This window comes from Homo sapiens, chromosome 18 (genome assembly GCF_000001405.40).
Source record: "Homo sapiens chromosome 18, GRCh38.p14 Primary Assembly".
NCBI classification, from domain to species: domain Eukaryota; kingdom Metazoa; phylum Chordata; class Mammalia; order Primates; family Hominidae; genus Homo; species Homo sapiens.
In genome coordinates, this window is record NC_000018.10 from 66,848,344 (window position 1) to 66,869,739 (window position 21,396).

General features: G+C 33.0%; 1 long non-coding RNA gene across 1 annotated transcript; it reads right to left on the reverse strand.

Moving 5' to 3' along the window:
* Positions 1 to 660: 660 nt before the first annotated feature.
* Positions 661 to 1,370, reverse strand: LOC124904320 (uncharacterized). The gene is made up of 2 exons (XR_007066403.1): positions 1,259 to 1,370; positions 661 to 1,169 (listed from the first exon to the last, which is right to left on the reverse strand). It is a non-coding gene; the product is annotated as an uncharacterized LOC124904320 (long non-coding RNA).
* Positions 1,371 to 21,396: the final 20,026 nt, after the last annotated feature.

Here is a 21,396-nt window from a genome sequence, read left to right on the forward strand (position 1 = left end):
AAATCAGTAATAATACATGCAATAACATAAACTACTTTGTTCCCTAACTGCAAGGAGATTATGAGACTAATTCAAGCTGCGTAGATTTTATGAACTATTCAGTATTTTCCTCAAAGCATTATAGCTTCTTTTATAACACATTGTTAACTGATGGAAAAAGCATTATGAAGTCAAGATTTTATATATCTGTTATAAAATAGTTAAAATTTATAATCATCAGTAATGAAGAGTTGTAATTCCTATCTTCTAAGAATTAGTTTATCTCCTAAGTAAATTATTGTGGAAAGTGTAATTTTTCAAACATTAAATTATATGACCACATCTACTACTTCTTTTAGGTACATCTGAGAGTAGGGGAATTTTCATTTAATCCTCTGCTTGGAGATCTATTTCAAATAGCACAGAATGTGGTAATATAAGGCTCTTTCACTTTTATCACTGAACAAGGTACTGGGAAAAAAAATGAGTTCTTGAAATGCAAAATAATTTTGAAAAAGCTGTTACACAAAATGAGAACATAAACTTAACACTTTGAAGCAAGAACTACAAGGTTAAACATAAAATATTTGAAGCCACATACGTATTTTAGAAGCACTTAGTGAGGGAAAGACATTAATATTTACTGAAAGACAATAATATGTCAAGTACTGTGCAAAGAGATACCATCTCAATCATCAGGTTTAATTCACATAAACATCCTTCAAAGTAGGTACAATATTCTAATATTGTTAAAAATAAGGCTAAGAAGTTTAAGTAATTTGCCTAGGGCCACAAAGAGAATAGTGGTAGACCCAGATATTAACACAGGTATGTCTGTATCCAACATTCATAATCTTTGCATCATACAGAAAGCATTGGTTAAGAGTATCATTCTGCAACTGGAAATTTCCTGGGTTCAAAACTTGAATACGCCAATTAGTTTTACAACCTCAGGACAAACACTTAACAGTCTCTGCCTCAGTTTCTACAACTTTCATTTGGATAGAATGTATGCATATTAAATGAATACATTAATTTGGCAGGATGACATACACATAGTAAATGCTCAATGAATGTTAATCACATTTCCTCCTACTCAATGTCTAATAGTTAATTATTGGCAGACCAGGGAAGAATTCTGGTTTCTTCACTCTCAGTCCAGCAGTTGCTTCAGTCTCCTAGATACTATTCTGTGAAAGAAAGTAAATTGATTTTTCAAAATTATTTTACAACCACGTGTTACCTATATGACCCTCTTTTGGGATGTTACCTTACTTACCTAAATTTGGCGATGTAGAGTAATGCTAGAAGTGGTAGAACACTCACAAAAATAACCATAAGTTGTAATAAGTTAGTTTGCCACAATTCCATGGATGCTGGTAAAAGACAAGAGGTTCCTATGTTGAAGATAAAGAATGGTATTACTCAAGGTCTAGCAGGCAGTGGGAGCATTGTCCTATTGATACTTGATTTCCCTGTTATTGGAGGAAATGTGAAGAATCTAGATGGGTGATAAACAAGGAGTGGCAGTTTCACAGCTGAGGAACTGAAGCTTAGGGAATCTGCATTTTATAGCAAGGAGTAAGACAAAATGATCTTTGCCAGGAAGACAACTAGGTACAAGCGTCAATGATGAGTCTATTTCTATACAGTTAGTTTTAAATTTACAGCAGCATAAAATGATCTTTAGAACTGTGCCACTCTTTGTGTGATACTCGCCACTCCTGTGTTCTGGATTAAAGAATACTGAAGACCTTGTCATTCAGGCATAGGAACCAAGGTGTGTAGAAGGACAGAAAGCTCTTGTGGATGGTCTCCTAAAGCAGGTTCTAACACATACCGAGTTGTGAAACCTCAGTACTGGACCTCAGCATTCTGCTTGGTACCCATTGCTTAGCTATTTCAAGAAAATATTTAATTGGAATTTCTTCAATTACTGTCTTTGTATGAAATAAAATATTATTTAATAATCAATACAAATTATAAAGATACAATGGTATCACTGAATTTATTGAAAAGGAACTTCATTAAACCATTTTAAAAATTCATGCTTTTTTATAGACATTTGTGAGATGCAAAGTTATTTACATTTTATACTTATATATTCTCCTCAATGATAAGAACATTCTATGTTAGAATGTTGTTGCAAAAATCAAAATGTGCATCCTCATATGCCTGCTCATTATCAAGTATAATATACCTTGAAAATGTATGCTTTTAAACATTCATAATGTATAATTTTAAACATCTTTTACAAAACATGTTTGAATCATCCATGCTGTGACGGAGCTTACCTTCCATTGATGGAAAAAAAACACCACAAATAAGAATACAAGATGGCAACTCAAGAGAGTGCAGCTTTCTCTGAAAATATCCAAGCAATCAGATGTAAAATGGGTGAATTGGTTGAAAGACTATGTTGGAGGGGGATGGCTGGAAGGAGCTGCACTGAGGAACCCTTACTTTCGTGCTAATTTACTAATATACTTAATAAATAATTATTGAGTGCTAATTTTATATTGGGTAATGGTTTAATTCCTGTTAATACAGTGGTATATCAAATAAGTAAAGTTCCTTAACTTGTGAAATTTAAATTCCAGTGTAAGAAGCAATTAAGTAATTATAATAAATAAATGTTCATTTTTACTTAAAATGCAGTTGTTTCTGAAGAACAGTATGTCACTTATTATAAGCAGAAAAATACAGATAAATTCCAAATGTCATAGTATATGGTCTCTAAGAGCTATAAAAACAATAAAGCTTATGAAATATAATCCCAGTCAGTGTTGGAATTTTTAAGAAGGTGACAATTTCCAACCATTTTTCTCTCATGAGGGAATTTGCTGATTTTGGCTCAATTTTGAAATTAGAATTGTCTAGTCATGGAGCCTCTGTTGGGGAAGAGAAACATGTAAATACGTTGCCAGTTGGGTGGGACCAATATAACAAATCAGAAAGTTCAATGGACTAATAACTTGGTTTCTTTGCTTTAAAGAGTATTAGCTGATTAACTCAAGGTAGGATACAAAGGAAAACTCCCTTCAAGGTTTTGGTCTTAAGAAAGCAAAGACATTCTAGGGAAGATTTGATTCAAAAAGACCGAGTAAGGTCTTTAAAATGCATGCTTTTAAACATTCATAATGTATAATTTTAAACATCTTCTACAAAACATGTTTGAATCATCCATGCTGTAATGTCCACAAGACGTTAGTGAGATTTCACATATGTCTAAGGCTCACCATTGGAAAGTCTGGATGGGAATCTTTTACTGGCAAAGCTAGATCTTCCTGAGGAGACTGAGACCTGCAAAACGTTTATTCAAGGCCTTTGGATAAAAGTTGAAACAAAGGTAGGTTAAATCTCCCTAAATCTGGAACCCCATCCCCAATCAATTTCACATTAGATTGAAGCAATAAGCACCTAAGACTCTCTTGCTAACAAGGAAAAAGAAAAGCTTCCTTGGAATAAGGTAATGCTATCATTTTCTGCCATGCTTTATTTGCATAGTATTTGGCTTGCAGTAAATACAATGTTGATTAAAGGAGGCAAGACAATATGAATTATAATTTAGAGGATGGGAGACAATAAATGGATACTCAAAGATAATAAATATATTGGAGTTAGAAAATAAATTTCAATAAATATTTATATATAAAAGAAAATATAGAAGAATATGAACAAAATAGATGAAAAAAACTAAGTATAACAAAAAATTGGGATCTATTATTATAATAAAAGTGATAATGTAAATAATAACTATAGTAGTCATAAAACGCTAAAGAATGAGAAAAATGAATGCCTTGAATATAGTGACAGGATTAGTAAAGCCATCAGTAAAAACATCCAAATTGTTGCATCGCTGTGTAATAAGAAGAATGATAAGAAGAAAAAAAAAGAAATCAGAACAAGGTGACACATCTTTCAAATGCATATGATTGATGTTCCAGAAGAAGAGTACAGATAGAGAAGAGGCTATTTGTAAAACAAATTAGCTGACAATTTTTCCCAATGTTGAACTATTCTAACTCACATATTTAAGAAGCTTAGTGAACTCAAAGCATAAGGGGATTGTTTGAAGCAAAGTGAATAGCAATATATGAACATGTTAGATATGAAGAAATATTAAAAATTAATAAAGTATTTTTAGAATGAGGTTTTTACAAATAAAGCAATGAAGCAAAACTAAAGTGATACAATTGATAAGATATTAATTAAAAATAATGCATATATACACATATATATACAATCAACAAGTAATACTTATTTCAAAAGAATAAATTGTCAAATCCCATTCTAAGGCTGATAAACTAGAGAAAACACAGATTTCCAATATTAGGAAAAATGAGGATCATTGCAGGTCTTTCTGACATTAAAAGTTAACACAAAAATATAATTAAAAATGTGCCAATAAATTTGAAATGCTGAGTAAATATTAAAATAAGGAAAAACCATAATATAACAAAAATAAGGACATAGAAAATCTGCATATTATTTATTTATATGAAAGAAGTTAAATCTTTATACTAAAACTCTTTCTTTAAACAAAATGCAATAAAAACAAAACAAAGGCTTATGATTAATTATTCCATATTTAAGAACAAAAACACCATTGTAACAAAAAATGTTCTAGCCTATGAAAAAGAGACATTTCCCCTTGTATCTTATGATGCTGTTAGATACAGCACATTCATGTGATAAAATTTATCATCTATGCCAAAACCTCAGAGCAAGTTAGAATAAAAGAAACATTTTGTAAATTAATAAAAATAATCACAAAAAACGGCAATTGCATATTTTGTGAGGGGTTTTTGACAGCTTTACACATGAGATTACGAATGAGACAAACGTATAAGCTTTTATAACTTCTCTTCAGTATTATACAATATTGTATGGGAATTGATATTCAGTGCTAATAAGTTAAGAAAAAAGTTATAAGGAGGGAAAGGAATAAGTAAAATAAAATAACAAGACTATATGATTATATGCATAAAAATCCAAAAATAATCTACATGAAATTTATTATATTCTACTTTTTATTCAGGTACCACATATAGAAAAAATCAACACCACCATTAACTAACTGGATTTAATCAATATTTATAGAACACTCTACCTAAGAAGAGCAGAATATATATTATTTTTAAATGCTCATAGAATATATACCAAGATAGACCATATCTTAGATTTCTTAAAACAGATCTACAAACACAAGTTTGACAACTTATATAAAATGTGCCACTTTTGTCCAAAAATACACTATCAAATCTATATTAAACAGATAATTTAAACTTTCCTGTAATTACTAAGGGAATGATTTCATAATTTACAAATTCATACAAAAATATACCTCTAAATCCAGATGGTTTAACTGTAGTGATCTACTGTTTTGTTGAAAGAAAAATTAACATCAGTTCTAAAAAATATATTTTAGGATATAGAAAGGGAATGCTTTATAAAGTTAGAATGACCCTGATAAGAAAATGGTACAAAAATAGTACAGAAAACAAAAATTACAGACCAGTATTACCTCTTGAATACAAAATGCAAAAATACTTAACAAAATATTACCCAATAGAATTCAGCAATATACAAAAATATATATGTAATGACTCTTTAGGATTTATTTACGGAATTCAAAGCTAGCTCAATATTTAAAAATCAATCAATGTAAAACATTATATGAAAAGATAAAGAATAAAAAAACATATGATTTTGTCGATTCATGCAGATAAGCATTTGACACAATCCAACACTCATTCATAATAAAAACACACAGAAAACTAAGAATAAAAGGCACACCTAAACTTAATAAAGAAAATCTATAAAAAACAACACAGCTAACATTATACTTAGTGATGAGGACTGAATATTTTCCACTAATATTAGAAACAAAGATTTCTGCTCCCACCACTTACTTTCAATTTTCTTTTCTGGAAATTTAACAAGTCTGATAAGGCAAGAAACAAAGAATAAAAGGCAGAAATAAGTGAAGAGATAAAAAGAAATGACCGTATTTGGAGACGACATAATTGTCTATAGTGAGAACACCAATAAATCTACAAACAGATTTTTCTATAAATCTAATACAACATATGTAAGACTTGTATACTTAAAACTGTACAACCATGCAGAAAAAATATCACATAAGCTCTAAGTAAATGGAAATACATATAATTCCTAGATTGAAGGAATTCCCCATATGGTTCCTAGATTGAAATACTGAACACAATAGAAATCTCTATTATTTCCAAATCAATATATAGATTTTATGCAATTCCTATCATGATCCCAGTAAATTTGGTACAGATATAGAAAGAATTGTTTTAATATTTATGGAGAATAGCAAAGAAACTAGAATAGCTAAAACCATTTTGAAAAATAATAAAGTGAGAGAAATCAGTCTACCTAATTATATATATATAGTTGCATTATTATATAGTTAGATCATATTTTGGCATTAAACAAGATGGGAAAATTTTTGCAATCTACCCATCTGACGAAGGTGTAATATCCAGAATCTACATGGAATTTAAACAAATTTACAATAAAAAAAAAAATCCCATCAAAAGTGGGCAAAGGATATGAACAGACACATCTCAAAAGAAGACATTTATGCAGCCAACAAACATATGAAAAAAAGCTCATCATCATTGGTCATTACAGAAATGAAAATCAAAACCACAATGAGATACCATCTCATGCAGGTCAGAATGGCAATTATTAAAGAGTCAGGAAACAACAGATGCTGGCAAGGTTGTGGAGAAATAGAAACACTTTTACACTGTTGGTGGGAGCGTAAATTAGTTCAACCATTGTGGAAGACAGTGTGATGATTCCTCAAGGATCTAGAAAAAGAAATACCATGTGACCCAGCAATCCCATTACTAGGTATGTATCTAAAAGATTATAAATTATTCTACTATAAAGACACATGCACATGTATGTTTATCGCAGCACTATTTACAAAAACAAACACTTGGAACCAACCCAAATGCCCATCAGTGATAGACTGGATAAAGAAAATGTGGCACATATTCACCATGGAGTACTATGCAGCCATCAAAAGGAATGAGTTCATGTCCTTTGCAGTGACATGGATGAAGCTGGAAGCCATCATTCTCAGCAAACTCACACAGGAAAAGAAAATCAAACACCACATGTTCTCACTCGTAAGTAGGAGTTGAACAATGAGAACACATGGACACAAGGAGTGGAACATCACACACCAGAGCCTGTCAGGGGGTCGGGGGCAAGGGGAGGGAGAGCATTAGGACAAATACCTAATGCACGTGGGGCTTAAAACCTGGATGATGGGTTGATAGGTGCAGCAAACCACCATGGCACATGTTTACCTATGTAAGAAACCCGCACGTTCTTCACATGTATTCCAGAACTTAAAGTAAAATAAAATTAAATTAAAATTTAAAAAGATTAAAACAAAGTTTTAGAAAATGTAGAAACACATCACTTGCATTTGGACTAGACAAATCATTTTGAGCCATGATACTAAATTACCATCCATAATAAGAAAAATGAATAAACTGCACTTCATCAAAATTAAAAACTCTGTGTTTTGAAGATCCTATTAAGCAATTGAAAACACTACTTACTGAATAAAGAAAATATTTTTAAACCTCACATGTGAATAAGGACTCTTATCTAGAAATATAAAGAACTATCAAAACTCAACATTACCAACCAACGAACACACAAAACAATGATAATATGCATGAAAGACATGAATAGACATTTCAATCAAGTGTGTATACAAATATTAAATAAGAACATCATTAGCCATTAGGGAAATTCAGAATTAAAACCACAATGAGATATTATAGCACGTATGTTGAAATGGTTCACTAAAAATAAAATGTGGCAACAACAAAGGCTGGGAAAGATATGGAGCCAGTGGGTTACTATCACATTGTTGGTGGAAATATAACAAGATCAGAAACTCTGGAAAAAAGTTTGGCACTTTCTTAAAAAACTAAGCATGCAAATACCAGACGATGCATCAACTGCACTCCTTAGAGAGGAAAACTTACATTCACACAAACGCTTGTACTCAGGATTAAGAAAAAAAAAAAAAGTATTTATACACACAGTAACCTGGATGATTGGTGACAGAATTATGCCGACTGAAAAAAGATTCAATTCCCAAGAGATTACATAATGAATAATTCCATTTCCTTACCACTTTTGAAATGATAAAATTATAGAAAGGTAGAATGTAGGAATTGTTACCAGGGATTAGGAAGAGCTGGGAATGGAAGGGAAGTATTTGTGTCCATTAAAATGCAACATGACGCATCCTTGTTGTGATGGAAAGTATTCTGCATTTTGACTGGATTAATGTCAACTTCCTAGTGGTCATACTGTATTACAACTTTATAAGAGGCCACCCTTAGGGAAAATTAGGTTAATGGTACACAGGATCTCTGCATATTACTTTTTAAAACTCCATGTAAATACTGAGTTAAAAAATAAAAATAGGCAAATGAGATGGGTAATTTTATGTGTCAAGTTAGCTGGGCGATGGATCCCAGATATTTGGCCAAACGTTAGTCTATATGTTGCTGTGGATATAATTTTAGATGAGATTAACATTGAAGTCAGCAGATTTTGAGTGAAGCAAATTGCCCTTCGTAATGTTCATGGGCCTCATCCAACTAATAGAAGGCTTTAAGAGACAAAAGATGGCTGGGCGCGGTGGCTCACGCCTGTAATCCCAGCACTTTGGGAGGCCAAGCCGGGTGGATCACCTGAGGTCAGAAGTTCGAGATCAGCTTGGCCAACATGGTGAAACCCCCATCTCTGCTAAAAATACAAAAAAAAAAAAAAATTAGGTGGGCGTGGTGGTGTGCACCTGTAGTCCCAGCTACTCAAAAGGCTGAGGCAGAACTGAATCTGGGAGGCGGAAGTTGCAGTGAGCCAAGATCGAGCCATTGCACTCCAGCCTGGACAATAAGAGTGAGACTCCGTCTCAAAAAAAAAAAAAAAAAAAAAAGACACCAATCAAAGGCCAACTATACTACAGGTAAAGTACTAACCTTTAATATTCATTACCTTGCTGAATATTTCAAACGGTATAATAAAATATGTAAATGCTTAGAAATTGTCTCCTCCCTTCACTCTGTACCTTCAGGAAGAGAGTATATTTCTCCTCACTGATTTGGGCTTGAAATGGCCAGCAGCTGACAGGAAAGAAATGGAGATATCAGTCGTCCCACTTCAAGGAACTGAATTCTGCCAATCATCTGAATGATCAAAGAACATATTATTCTCTAGAGAGACATGCATCTTACCATCATCTTGATTTTAGTCCAGTAAGATGAGTATAAGATTTCTAACCTACAGAACTGTAAGATGATAATTTTGTGTTGCTTTATACCATTAAGTTTGTTATGGCAGAGATATAAAACTAACATAAAGGAGGCAAGGGTGCAGGAACTTCCATTCTAGGGTAGTTAAATGTTGCTATACTGAAAAATAACTGAATATGAGGCATACCAATGAGTAAGAAGGACATTTGGTATGGTAATATTTTAATGCTGGTAGTTGACTTACGCAAAAGTAAGCAATCATCTTTCTGCTTATAAACATGAAACTACAGTAAAAGGGGTTAATTATCTAGGTTATTTTTGCAGTACATGAACTTGGAGCTAGGTTGTTTTCCCTGACACCCAGATCAATCACCAGGCCATACTGCCTTCCACTCAGCCTAGCACACACTTTTCTTTTTGGAAGATTCACATGGTAACTTCAAGTAAGATATATTTTTGTGGGAATAGAAAAAAAAGATAGTAATATTTAAAACTGCTGAAGATATGAATTAGAGTGATTGCACTGGAATTTTTTAAAGCAAGGAAAGAAGTACATATTTTAGAGACTTTTTAAAGAAAAATGAACTGTGTAACATGTAAGATATGAATTAACTGCATTATTTTGCATGTGGATATCCAATTCTCCCAATTGTAATTGTTGAAAAGACTATCCTTTCTGAATTTAATATTTTTGGTATCTTCTTCTAAGATCAGTTGACTGTATTTGTGGAAATATTTCTAGATTCTCTATTCTCTTCCTCTGGTCTATATATCTGAGTTTATACCAACACCATCCTGTTTTGAGTACTGTTTCTTTGTAATATATTTGAAAATCAGGAAGTATGATGCCTCCAGCTTCGTTCTTCTTTCTCAAAATTGATATGGTTATTTCTGGTCTTTTGTGGTTCCATAGGAGTTTTATAATTTTTTTCTATTTTTGAAAAAATAAATGTCATTATGTTTTTGATAGGGATTACATTATATATATAGATCACTTTGGGTAGTATGGACATTTTTAATGATATTAATTCTTCCTATCCATGAATGCAAGATATATTTCTATTTGTTTGTGTCTTTTTTTTATTTTTACAGGCCATCAGGTAAGTGAAAACATCCCCAATGTCACTAATCATCAGGTATATGAAAATCAAAACCACAATAATCTATCATCTCAGACCTCTCAGAATGGCTATTATTAAAAAACTCAAAAAGGACAAGTGTAGGTGAAGATGTAAAGAAATTCAAAACTCTGGATACTGTTGGTGGGAATGTAAAATCTGTAGGATTTATGGAAAACAATTTGGAAATTCCTCAAAAATTAAAACTAAAACTTCCATATGATCCAGAAATCGTACTTCTAAGTATTTGTCCAAAAGAATTAAAACCAGAATCTTAAATAGATATTAGCATTCCCTTGCTCATATCAATACTATCCAGAAAGCCAGGATTTGGAAACAACCTAAATGTCCATAGAGATTTGATGGTTACAGAAACTGTGCTATAAACATACAACACAATATTATTCAGCCTGTAAAAAGATATCCTGTACTATGCAGCAGCATGCATGAACCTTGAGGACATTATTCTCAGTGGGATGAGCCAGTTATAGAAAGATAAATACTGGATGACTCCACTAACATGTGGTATCGAATATAGGCAAGTTCACAGAATCAAAGAGTAAAATTGTGTTTGCCTGGGTCTAGGGAAAGAGGGAAGTGGGGAATTGCTAATCAACAAACACAAAGTTTTAATTGAGAAAGGTAAGTTCTCAAGATATGCTATATTGTATCTATCAAAATACCCAACTATATACTTAAAATTTCATTAAGAGAATAAATCTCACATTAAATATTCTTACCAAAATAAAATAAAATTAATGAAGTTAAAAGGGCAATGGATATATCTGAATATAATCTGGTATCAGAAGGATCCTTTAACCTCACAGAAATGAAGTAGATTTTTAAACAGATGTTAATTTATGTTTATTTACATTTTTAAATCAGTAGTAATACTCATTAACTCTTCTGTTATGGACAGTCAAATAAAAATTATGAATCCTAGAAAATAAAAATAAAAACCAAACAACAAAGTAAAAAGAAAGATAATAACAAGACTGTAATAACTTGGAAAGAACAAGTGAATGGGAAAGGAAGACTAAACGATGATTATGAGATATAAAACTCTAAGTTTAGGTGAAATAAAATAAATTACAATTCTAAATATATTGACTTTCAAGAGTGAAGGAACATACAGGTAAACAGGTTAAGCTTTTTCAAAACGTTGTTCTCAAAGTATGATCTGTCTACACACACAACAATGAGAACACATGGGCACAGGGAGGGGAACATCACACACCAGGGCCTGTCAGTGGGTGGGGGTCTAGGGGAGGGATAGCATTAGGAGAAATACCTAATGTAGGCGACAGGTTGATGGGTACAGCAAACCACCATGCCATATGTATACCTATGTAACAAACCTGCACATTCCGCACATGTATCTCAGAACTTAAAGTGTAATAATAACTATAATAATAAAAAGATATGACTCTTCCTTTCTAAACTCATCTTACCCATTTTCATACCACTGTTATATTTAAAAACTGAGATATGTTTTTTATAATCTATTAAAATACTTATGATTCCACATCAACTGAAATGCTCTGTCCTCTGTTGTTTTCTTTCATTCCCTGTGTAAAAAAGCCACTTTTTCTCTTGAACATTGCAGTAACTTCTTATTATCCAGTAATAAGTAAGGACACTGCTTTCCTGGTAGTTATAATGCTGACTCTTAATAATCTATTCTTTCCAGATTTCTTTTTTTTTTTTTTTTTTTGCTACACTTTTTTTTGTTGTTGTTGTTATACTTTAAGTTCTAGGGTGCATGTGCACAAGGTGCAGGTTTGTTACATATGTATACATGTGCCATGTTGGTGTGCTGCACCCATTAACTCGTCATTTACATTAAGTATATCTCCTAATGCTATCCCTCCCCCCTCCCCCCACCTCACGACAGGCCCTGGTGTGTGATGTTCCCCTTCTTGTGTCCAAGTGTTCTCATTGTTCAATTACCACCTATGAGTGAGAACATGCGGTGCTTGTTTTTTTGTCCTTGCGATAGTTTGCTGAGAATGATGGTTTCCAGCTTCATCCACGTCCCTACAAAGGACATGAACTCATCCTTTTTTATGGTTGCATTCTTTAATAAAGATCCAAATCTTATTTGTTTTTGTATCTCTCATACCATAGCAGAGTTCTGTGTACCTAGTAGCATCCCAATATTTGCCTAATATAACAAAACTGGAAATTACTAGTGTTATTTTTATAAATGAATATTTATTTGTTTCTTACAGGGGCTGCCCAACTGTATTAATAAGAGTGATTGGATATACTTTAAAATGTGAAAAATATATTTTGAAATAGTTTCAAAGTGGTTAGAGGTTAGAAAATGTTAATGAATAGTACCCTTTTTAATGAACAGATGGTATAAAACGATCACTGGAGCCACAGGGAACTAGTTTAACAAAGATGTTTTGAAAGGATGGCAGAGAGTCTCAAATAGTAATAGGATTTCTTTTTTTTTCCATTTTGCAAAGGCCTACTTTACGGTCTATTTTCTTAGGCTTTCCAAAATGCTACATTTGAATGATGCTGCAATACAACACTGTACAGATTATTAGTTTGACAGTTTCTAGAGATGAGTTGTTGGAGAAACTATATGAAATGGGATGTCCTCTAGGTTCAGAGCAGTGTTCCAGAACTGAATTTTAGGTTTAGTACACTTTTATATAAATGAGTTGAATAAATAAGTAATTTAAATGCAGATGTTACCTTTTCTATGCTAGTGGGGATTGGTGAGAAGTTACAATCTGTCTGGGAAAAGATCTTTGCTGCTTCTAGATAACTTTATTTCAGAAAAGGGGCTTTATAAAGAAGGAAGAATGTAACAGCTGTGTTTCTTTTTGGTTAGAAAAATAAGAGCAAAGGGACATGTAATTCAAATATAAATGTTGACTCTCTTCAGAAGTTACAAATGAAAGTGATATTTAGGAAATTATTTATGTCATTATACCGTGATGATTTATCAGAAAAAGGTAGAAAATAGCTTAATGTTTGCATTAGTAAACAGAATTATATGATTTTTATATGTGTTTTACAAATAGATAAAAAACTGAGAAGCAGGATATTATGATTTATTAATTTGCTTTAATATACAAAGAGATGTACTTACCAATTTTTATATAAGAACTAATCTAAGTATGCAAAGAAACAAAAAAGTCTCATTTTATACATTAGAAGTATCTTTCAAAATTTCCTTATTTTGATTTTTTTCATGTAAGAAATGGATAGAAAGGGAAGAAGTTTTGAAAAGTGAGATAATTCAAAGCTTTCAATATTTGAATGTAATTTTAACTTAAAAAACAGAAATAATAAAATTAAATGCTTTAAGGAGCATAATTACTATTGCTTCTGATGTTACAAAAAAAAAAACAAAATATTAAAATTACATAAAGTTGTTGAAGAAAATAATGCAAAAGTTTAATATTTATAATAAAATTGATCATTACTTTTTCACTGTGGTTTGTTATTACACACAGTATTATTTGTTTCTTACTCTTAAATTTTTACTTTTGTGTATATACACCATCAAAAACTTATGGAAGTTAAAAACTATTATTATTATTATTATTTTGATGCAGCATCTGCTTAGAGTAGCAGATGGTAGGTACAAAAATTTATAAAGTTAATGAATCAAATTATTCATTACTTAGCTAGAGAGGTAGTGGCAAACAAGCTTCTATCTTCAAATATTTCAATATAAGTGAGAAGACAGAGATATAATTACTTAATATTTTATTTTAATTTGAATTTACTTTGGGGATATTTGTAGGCTTTCAGCATACAAATGAGATTGAATGTGTTACTAAATATTTATTATTTTTTGTCATGCAACTTGTAGCATATTAAGAATTTAAATTCTCTTTCAATCATATAATATATACTATTATACTCCAAATGGATTAAACTCACCATAATTATCTTATCCTTAGTCCTGAAACACTTCTTTCCCTTAAAATGAAATCATTATTCACCACTATTCTCTCTCAAAAAAAAAAAAAAGGCAATTTATATCTTGGACAAAAGTATATCTGTGAAAAAGACATTTTAGCCTTTAACAGATGGACTTATTTCAAGTCATTGATTTTGAGATGTTAAAGAAAGCAGCAGAAAAGTCTTTCTGGTAATTTTTATTGAAGAGACTCCTATTAAGGATAGAAGGCATGGCAATAAATAACAGTAACCTTTGTGTAGCACAGCTTTAGGCAGTATTAAGGCCAAAAACTTCTCATGGGATTGAAGACAATTCTGGTGCTAATTACCTTTTTTATCTATATGAAATGTTAACTGTCTAAGAATTAATGGAACAAATCCTTTCAACTGAACTCATGTTTCAAGAGCTATGTCATCTTGAAATGTCTCAGTTGTACAATGATAATCAGTGCATTTTCACTGTATATGAAGGCTCGGTCTCTTCACTTTTTTCACTCTGAGAATTGTAAGGACTGCATGTTGAATTACATTTGTCTGTCCCTTGTTTTTGATAAAGGCCATTCATCCAAGGGCAAAATCTCACATTAAAATGTTACTAGAGATTTGACTGACACAGCCTTATCCTTCCACTCATTTATTGCGTCAGCAATCCTCAACCAAATGGACCTTGAGATGAAACACCAAGACAAGTGTGGAAAGTGGCACCTTGTCCCTGTCACAGACGCAGTGAGTAGACATCGCTGAGAAAGTCTGCAGTCATAGGTTAATCCGCTTTGTATACTAGTATCCAACCAGGTCTGACCAAGCAACAGTGATGTTGGGAATCAGGATTAGGTAATTTCTCTGTCCTTCAGTTTTAGTACTGGAGCTGCTATTTGCTACCATGATGAATGCTATCATTTACCAAAAAAAAAAAAAAAAATAGTTTAAAGTGTAATACTAAGTCTTGAGGTCCCTTTAAGCAACTTAAACTTCACTGAAGAAAGTGCACTGGACAGTTTTAGAGATAAAGGAACAATTCCACATTGTTACTAGGATTAGGGTAAGTACGGCAATCTGTAAATGAATCAGGTTATTTGAAACTAGTTTTCAAGCATTCAATCTGATTTCAAGAGAAAAGAGGCCTTACTTTTACATTTAGGAAGCACTGATACCAGTCAAACAGTAGGAAAATAAGCATTTTAGAAATAATCTACAAGAAGATTTATTGAAGTTCTTAAAAATTGCATTAGCAATATGAGCTGGAGAATGTAGCTACCATTCAACTTACAAGTTTCTTGCCTTCTAGGACCACAAAACTCCTGAGATTTGCAGGAACAGAAAACGAAATGTGTTATTGCATGTTTTGTTGACCTGGTTTATCAGCTTAGCTCACTCTAATGGTATTCACAAAAGACTAACATGGACATCAAAATGCCAACTTACCAATTTATTATGAAAATTATACTCCCCCAAAAGTAGTTCATGGACTCTATATGGAAACATCTACATGGAAGTTAACCATAAGATAGTGTTTGGGAAAATATACAATCGAAGTAAGAAGAATTAGTTGGATTCTCTTAATGGCATTGTCATCTCTTAAAATAGTTATCCATTAAAGACATATATGTTAGTCATCATACTAGAAATGTATGCTACATCTTAACCCCTCAGCAATGAGGTGTACACGTTTTTATCTAACTCATGGTTTCTTTAGCTGCACAGAGTATACTTTTTTCTTTGTCTTTATTGAGATATGTTAATATGATTAAATACAATTTTATTTAAAATAAAGGCAAAATATATCAGATTTCTAAGCTTTGCTCTTTATACTTTTGACTGATAAAGTAAATCTCTCCTTATAAAAATAATATACTGATACTTTATATAATCATTTTCAAATTTATGTAATTGATTACCAACCATTTCTCAAAAAGTATATGAACAACTGCTAAAAATTACATGAAGTATTTTTTTTTAATTCCTAAACTTTCTTCACATCTACTGAAATTCTTATCCCTGAAAATAGCACCTGGAAATCTGTTATTGTTGAGCTCTCTAAACTATTGCTCTGTATTCTAATGTTTGAGAGCCACTGGAGTAGAGTATGTTTGTAGCCTAATATAGACGTGAAATACATTTGGCCTTTCAAACAATCTCAAGTACAAAAGCGTTCATCCTATATCTATTAGCCAACTCTTTAATGTTTACCACAGAAATTTTATTTTAAGTCTTACAAAGTTTACACTGCTGTTCACATAATTGTTATTAAACTTCCTTGTCACCAAAGGAAGCATAATGATGATATTAGCATAATGAAAGGATTAGAGAAAATTTTGCAGATTGTTCTGTGGGCTACCCAGGAGAAAGACTCTTTACATTTATTTTCAAGGCTACAGTGGAAGTCTTCCTGGCCCTAATTGACAAATGATACATCATCTCCATTGCCCCATCAGTCACATATCACTTGGGGTTGCTTATGTTTTTTCTTTTGCTATTTGGGATTTTTTAAATTTTTATATGTAGAGTGACTAATTAATATAAAGCATATGAAAAGAAGCAAAATTAAAGAAATGGCTTGCCAGAGATCTTCAAATAATGTGTTACATGAGATTTAAAATCAACAAACATATATTTATTAAAAAATGATTTTTTTGCCCTTTAGTATAGCTATAAATCTAACCTTAAGTGCATTTTTCAATTTTTCTTCTCCCTTCTTCCATTTACCCCGATCTTGATATTTGGGTGGGTTTCTGTTACCTTTGGTAATTTTAGATTTTTCATGTTATTAATGCTAACCTAACTTTCTTCACCCCTATTAACATCCTTAATCACTGGGATTAACAGCTGGAACTCTGTGTGTTTTTTTTTTCTCCCTAAACTATTACTCTGTATTCTAACTTTTGAGAGGCACAAGAGTGGCTCTTTCTAAATGTTGTATGTTTGTAAGTTTGAAAGTCCTGTACTCTTTGTGTCCAGGTTGAATTTCCCTTTTTTTCTGAAGACTTCCCAGATGTCTTTTCTATTTAACAGCACATACATTTATAGGCACTATACTGTTTTATGAAACTGCTATTTTCTGCATCATATAACAAGAATTTGTACAAATAACTTAGCTCCCTCTGTTGAGTCCTCTTACTCCTTTAATTTAAAAAAGTAGTTCATTCACTCTCTCTTCCCATGTAATTGTTAGTAGAACACCTGTACCTTTTACATAGATGATAATCCCTGGGAAGAGTAAAGAATGATACAACGAAAAAACAAACAATGTAGGGAATGCCTCTCTTCTAAATGGCATAATCCCCACTTAGAATTAAATCATATGTTTATTTCTAAACATGTGCTCAAAAATTTGACTTTCAAATCTTTCATTAAGTTCAGTATTTTAACGAGTATGCCCAGATGAACTTTAAGTTTCTTCACTCCTTCTGCCTGGAAGGAATTATCTTCCTCACATACTGTGGGTCTACCAAACTTACAGGGTAGCTAAGATTTTATGAAGAAAGCAATATCCTAGTAAACATTTTACTCTTCTCTGTTTCCTAAGGGGACCTTTATAAAATTTAATATTAACTAGATATCAATGGATAAACATCAGAAAATGTAACTCTGACATGAGTATTAGTCTGTTTTCACACTGCTAATAAACACATATCCAAGACTGGGTAACTTATAAAGGAAAGAGATGTAATTGACTCACAGTTCCACACAGCTGAGGAAGCTTCACAACTGTGGAGAAAGGCGAACGAGGAACAAGGTCCCATCTTACATGGCGGCAGGTAAGACAGCTTGTGCAGGGGAACTCCCAATTATAAAACTATCAGCTCTTGTGAAACGTATTCACTACTGAGAGGTGACAGCATGCTGGCAGCCCTCACAGCCCTGGCTCGCTCTCGGCGCCTCCTCGGCCTTGGCGCCCACTCGGTCGCGCTTGAGGGGCCCTTCAGCCCGCCGCTGCACTGTGGGAGCCCCTTTCTGGGCTGGCCAAGGCCGGAGCTGCTCCCTCAGCTTCCGGGGAGGTGTGGAGGGAGAGGCGCGGGCGGGAACCGGGGCTGCGTGCCGCGCTTGCGGGCCAGCGCGAGTTCCGGGTGGGCGTGGGCTCGGCGGGCCGGCACTCGGAGCGGCGGCGGCGGGCCGGCCCGCAAGCCCGGGGCATTGAGGGGCTTAGCACCTGGGCCAGCAGCTGCAGTGCTCGATTTCTCGCCGGGCCTTAGCTGCCTCCCCGCAGGGCAGGGCTCGGACCTGCAGCCCGCCATGCCTGAGCTTACTCTAGGGTCTAGGGATACAGAAATCATCAAAATTCACACAAAGATCACCCTCTTGGAATTTAGAGTCCAGTTTGGGGGATGCAGTCAAAAGAGCTAATAAAGAAATACATGCATACATATGTATTAATTTTTATAAATAACATGGAAAAAATACAGCTTAACATAGTACATGATGGGATCAGGAGAAATATGCATATGAAAATTTTGAAAAGCCTCATTAATAAAATACTGAGCAGAGATTGAAGGCCAAATGTGGGCCAAGTCATGTTGAATCTGAAGGAAGAGGTTCTGGACAGATGAGGCAGCAAATCAAAGGTACCAAAGGCAAAGTGGTATTATTTTGAAGAGGGGAAAAAAGTACAATGATGGTGGAACACAGAAGTCCATGCCTTTTTTCTTCAGTCTCTGGGACATGCCATGGCTGAGCACTTGCTGATCAGTTGGCTCATTGATCACCAATAATCTCTTCATGAGCTTCATATTCTCTATGACTTGAATTACTATGACCCTTGAACTCATTAAAGTTTGGCTCTGATCTTGGTGATCTTTTGGAAGCTAGGATTTTCCTGACTTGTAGGGATTCTAGCTTTTGCTATTTTTAAGAGCTGCGAAAAAATACCCTCTGCACAGAAGCTGTTCTTTATTATCTAGGCGTTCTTCAGCTCATTCAAATAAGTGAGTATTTAAATTCCCTATGTAGACGTCTAGGTGACAATATTGCTACAAATGCATAGCTACTGCTGGTTGAGATGTTCTCTGCTAGTCTCATAACCTGAATGTCTATGTTTTACGTAAATCCTGAGCCTTACTTGTCTGTTTGGCCTGAGGCCCTACGGTTCCCACTCCAACTTAACACCTCAGCTACAGACACAGGAAATCAGAATGCCACAGGCACCAATAAACATTTCATTTTTACTCATGTTCACATATTTGTGGTTAGAGCTAGACACAAACACGTGGATTTTTAAATCCAAGAGCTCATTACCATAGTTGACATCGCTAAAATATCTTGATTTTCATTGGTTACATCATTGTAATTTACCTAGGAAACTGGACCTGTCTTAACTGTGTGTAATCAGATTAGATGGACTCAGACAGAGGTAGGCTGAGTTCTGATTTACAGATTATTCATTTGTAGGTTAAAGTTATTTAAATCCCATGCTTTAGTTTTCCAACATATGAAACTGAGTTAATGTTACTTACTTCACAAGGTAGTTAAGAAGAATAAAAGTGATATATGTAAGAATATTTGTTGTGGCTGTTAGTAATTGAATTTAAGTATTTAATAATATGTCCTCCTTTTCTTATTATAAATTAAGATTTAGTCATAACAAATGCCAAGAGTTCTGTTATGTGACTCCTTACCAATAAATGTATATAGAATTTAATTTTAGAAATAATTTTCTGCAGTTGTACCATATATTTATAATAAATGAAAATCAAGCCTTTTTATTATCTTACTTTGATAAAGAGAATGGAGTTTAAACACAATAAAACCTTATTTTCATTTATTTCCAGTTATTATTTTAATACATTAGAAAAAATCACAATTACATATTAAATGTAGGAAAAATAATGATCCATTTAAAAATACTTTCTAAAATTGTCTTAATTTCAGAAAGAAAACAAGGAATCAAAATTAGGTTTGGATAATACATTAAGACTTTTAAAATTTCCTTGTGATTTAAGGTTGGTTCAACTGGATAGCATTATCTAAAAGTCTTCAAATATGATTGATAGAAACATTAAAGTATTTCATCTTGAACTTCAAATAAAAATGGTAGAAATAAAAAAAAAAAGATATAGCATGAAGTCCTCCCTGGGGAACCAGAAATCCTCAACACTGTGAAATTGTAACTTCCAAAATGATTTAATAAAATCTATGAAACAACACTCCTAATATTTGTGGAACTGCATCTTATCAGTAAGGGATTCTCTATGCAGGGATATGATGTTCAGCCTTCTATGTCTTTAAACAGACATTCTAGTTTTGGATACACAATCCTAATAAAACATGGCCTCGAAAGGCAATTGTTTTTCCTCTCATTTAGAAGTCTATACTAATCAAGTCAGAAAAGGTAATAAGTAACTGAACACACAAGGATGTAGCCATTCCAGTCTTCTGAATTGATACATGTAGCAAATTAATAACTTAGGTTTTCCCAGATACTAGAAAATAAAGAATGCTGAATAGAACTCAAGTTCTTCATGAAATAATATTTCCTACCATGGCCAAAAAATATTTGAACGTCCATGTTACAGACTTATTCTCCCTTATTTGTGTTTCCTGAATCCTATGCAAGCTCTGCTCTCTCCATCTCTTCTTAAGCTGTTCTCAAATTTTTTTTTTATTTTTTGCAATTTTGAACTCATGTTATGAACATCTTAATGGTTTTTTTTTCCTACTTTGGTAAAAGGGCGTTTCAAAACCCTACTGATTTTGATCCCTAAGATACTCTTCATTTTTTCATTCAATAAATTCAAGCAATATCAATTTCTGATATCACTTGAACATTGAAGATTTCTAAGTGTATGATATCAACTCAGATTTCTCTCCAGGTTTTCAGGTTTCAGAAATATATACTCAAATTATAATGTACAAACTTGACTGAATTTTCCTCAAATACCTTAAATACCTCATATTTGAAGTCTTATCACCTTTGTGAACGTTGTTCTTTAGCTTGCTTGATGGTAATATGCATGCTTTAAATCCCTACTTTAAATATGTGACTATGCCTTCTTCCTTTTAAATTGTATTTCTCAAATTTCACCTGCTGTACCATTTCTACTTTTCTGTAT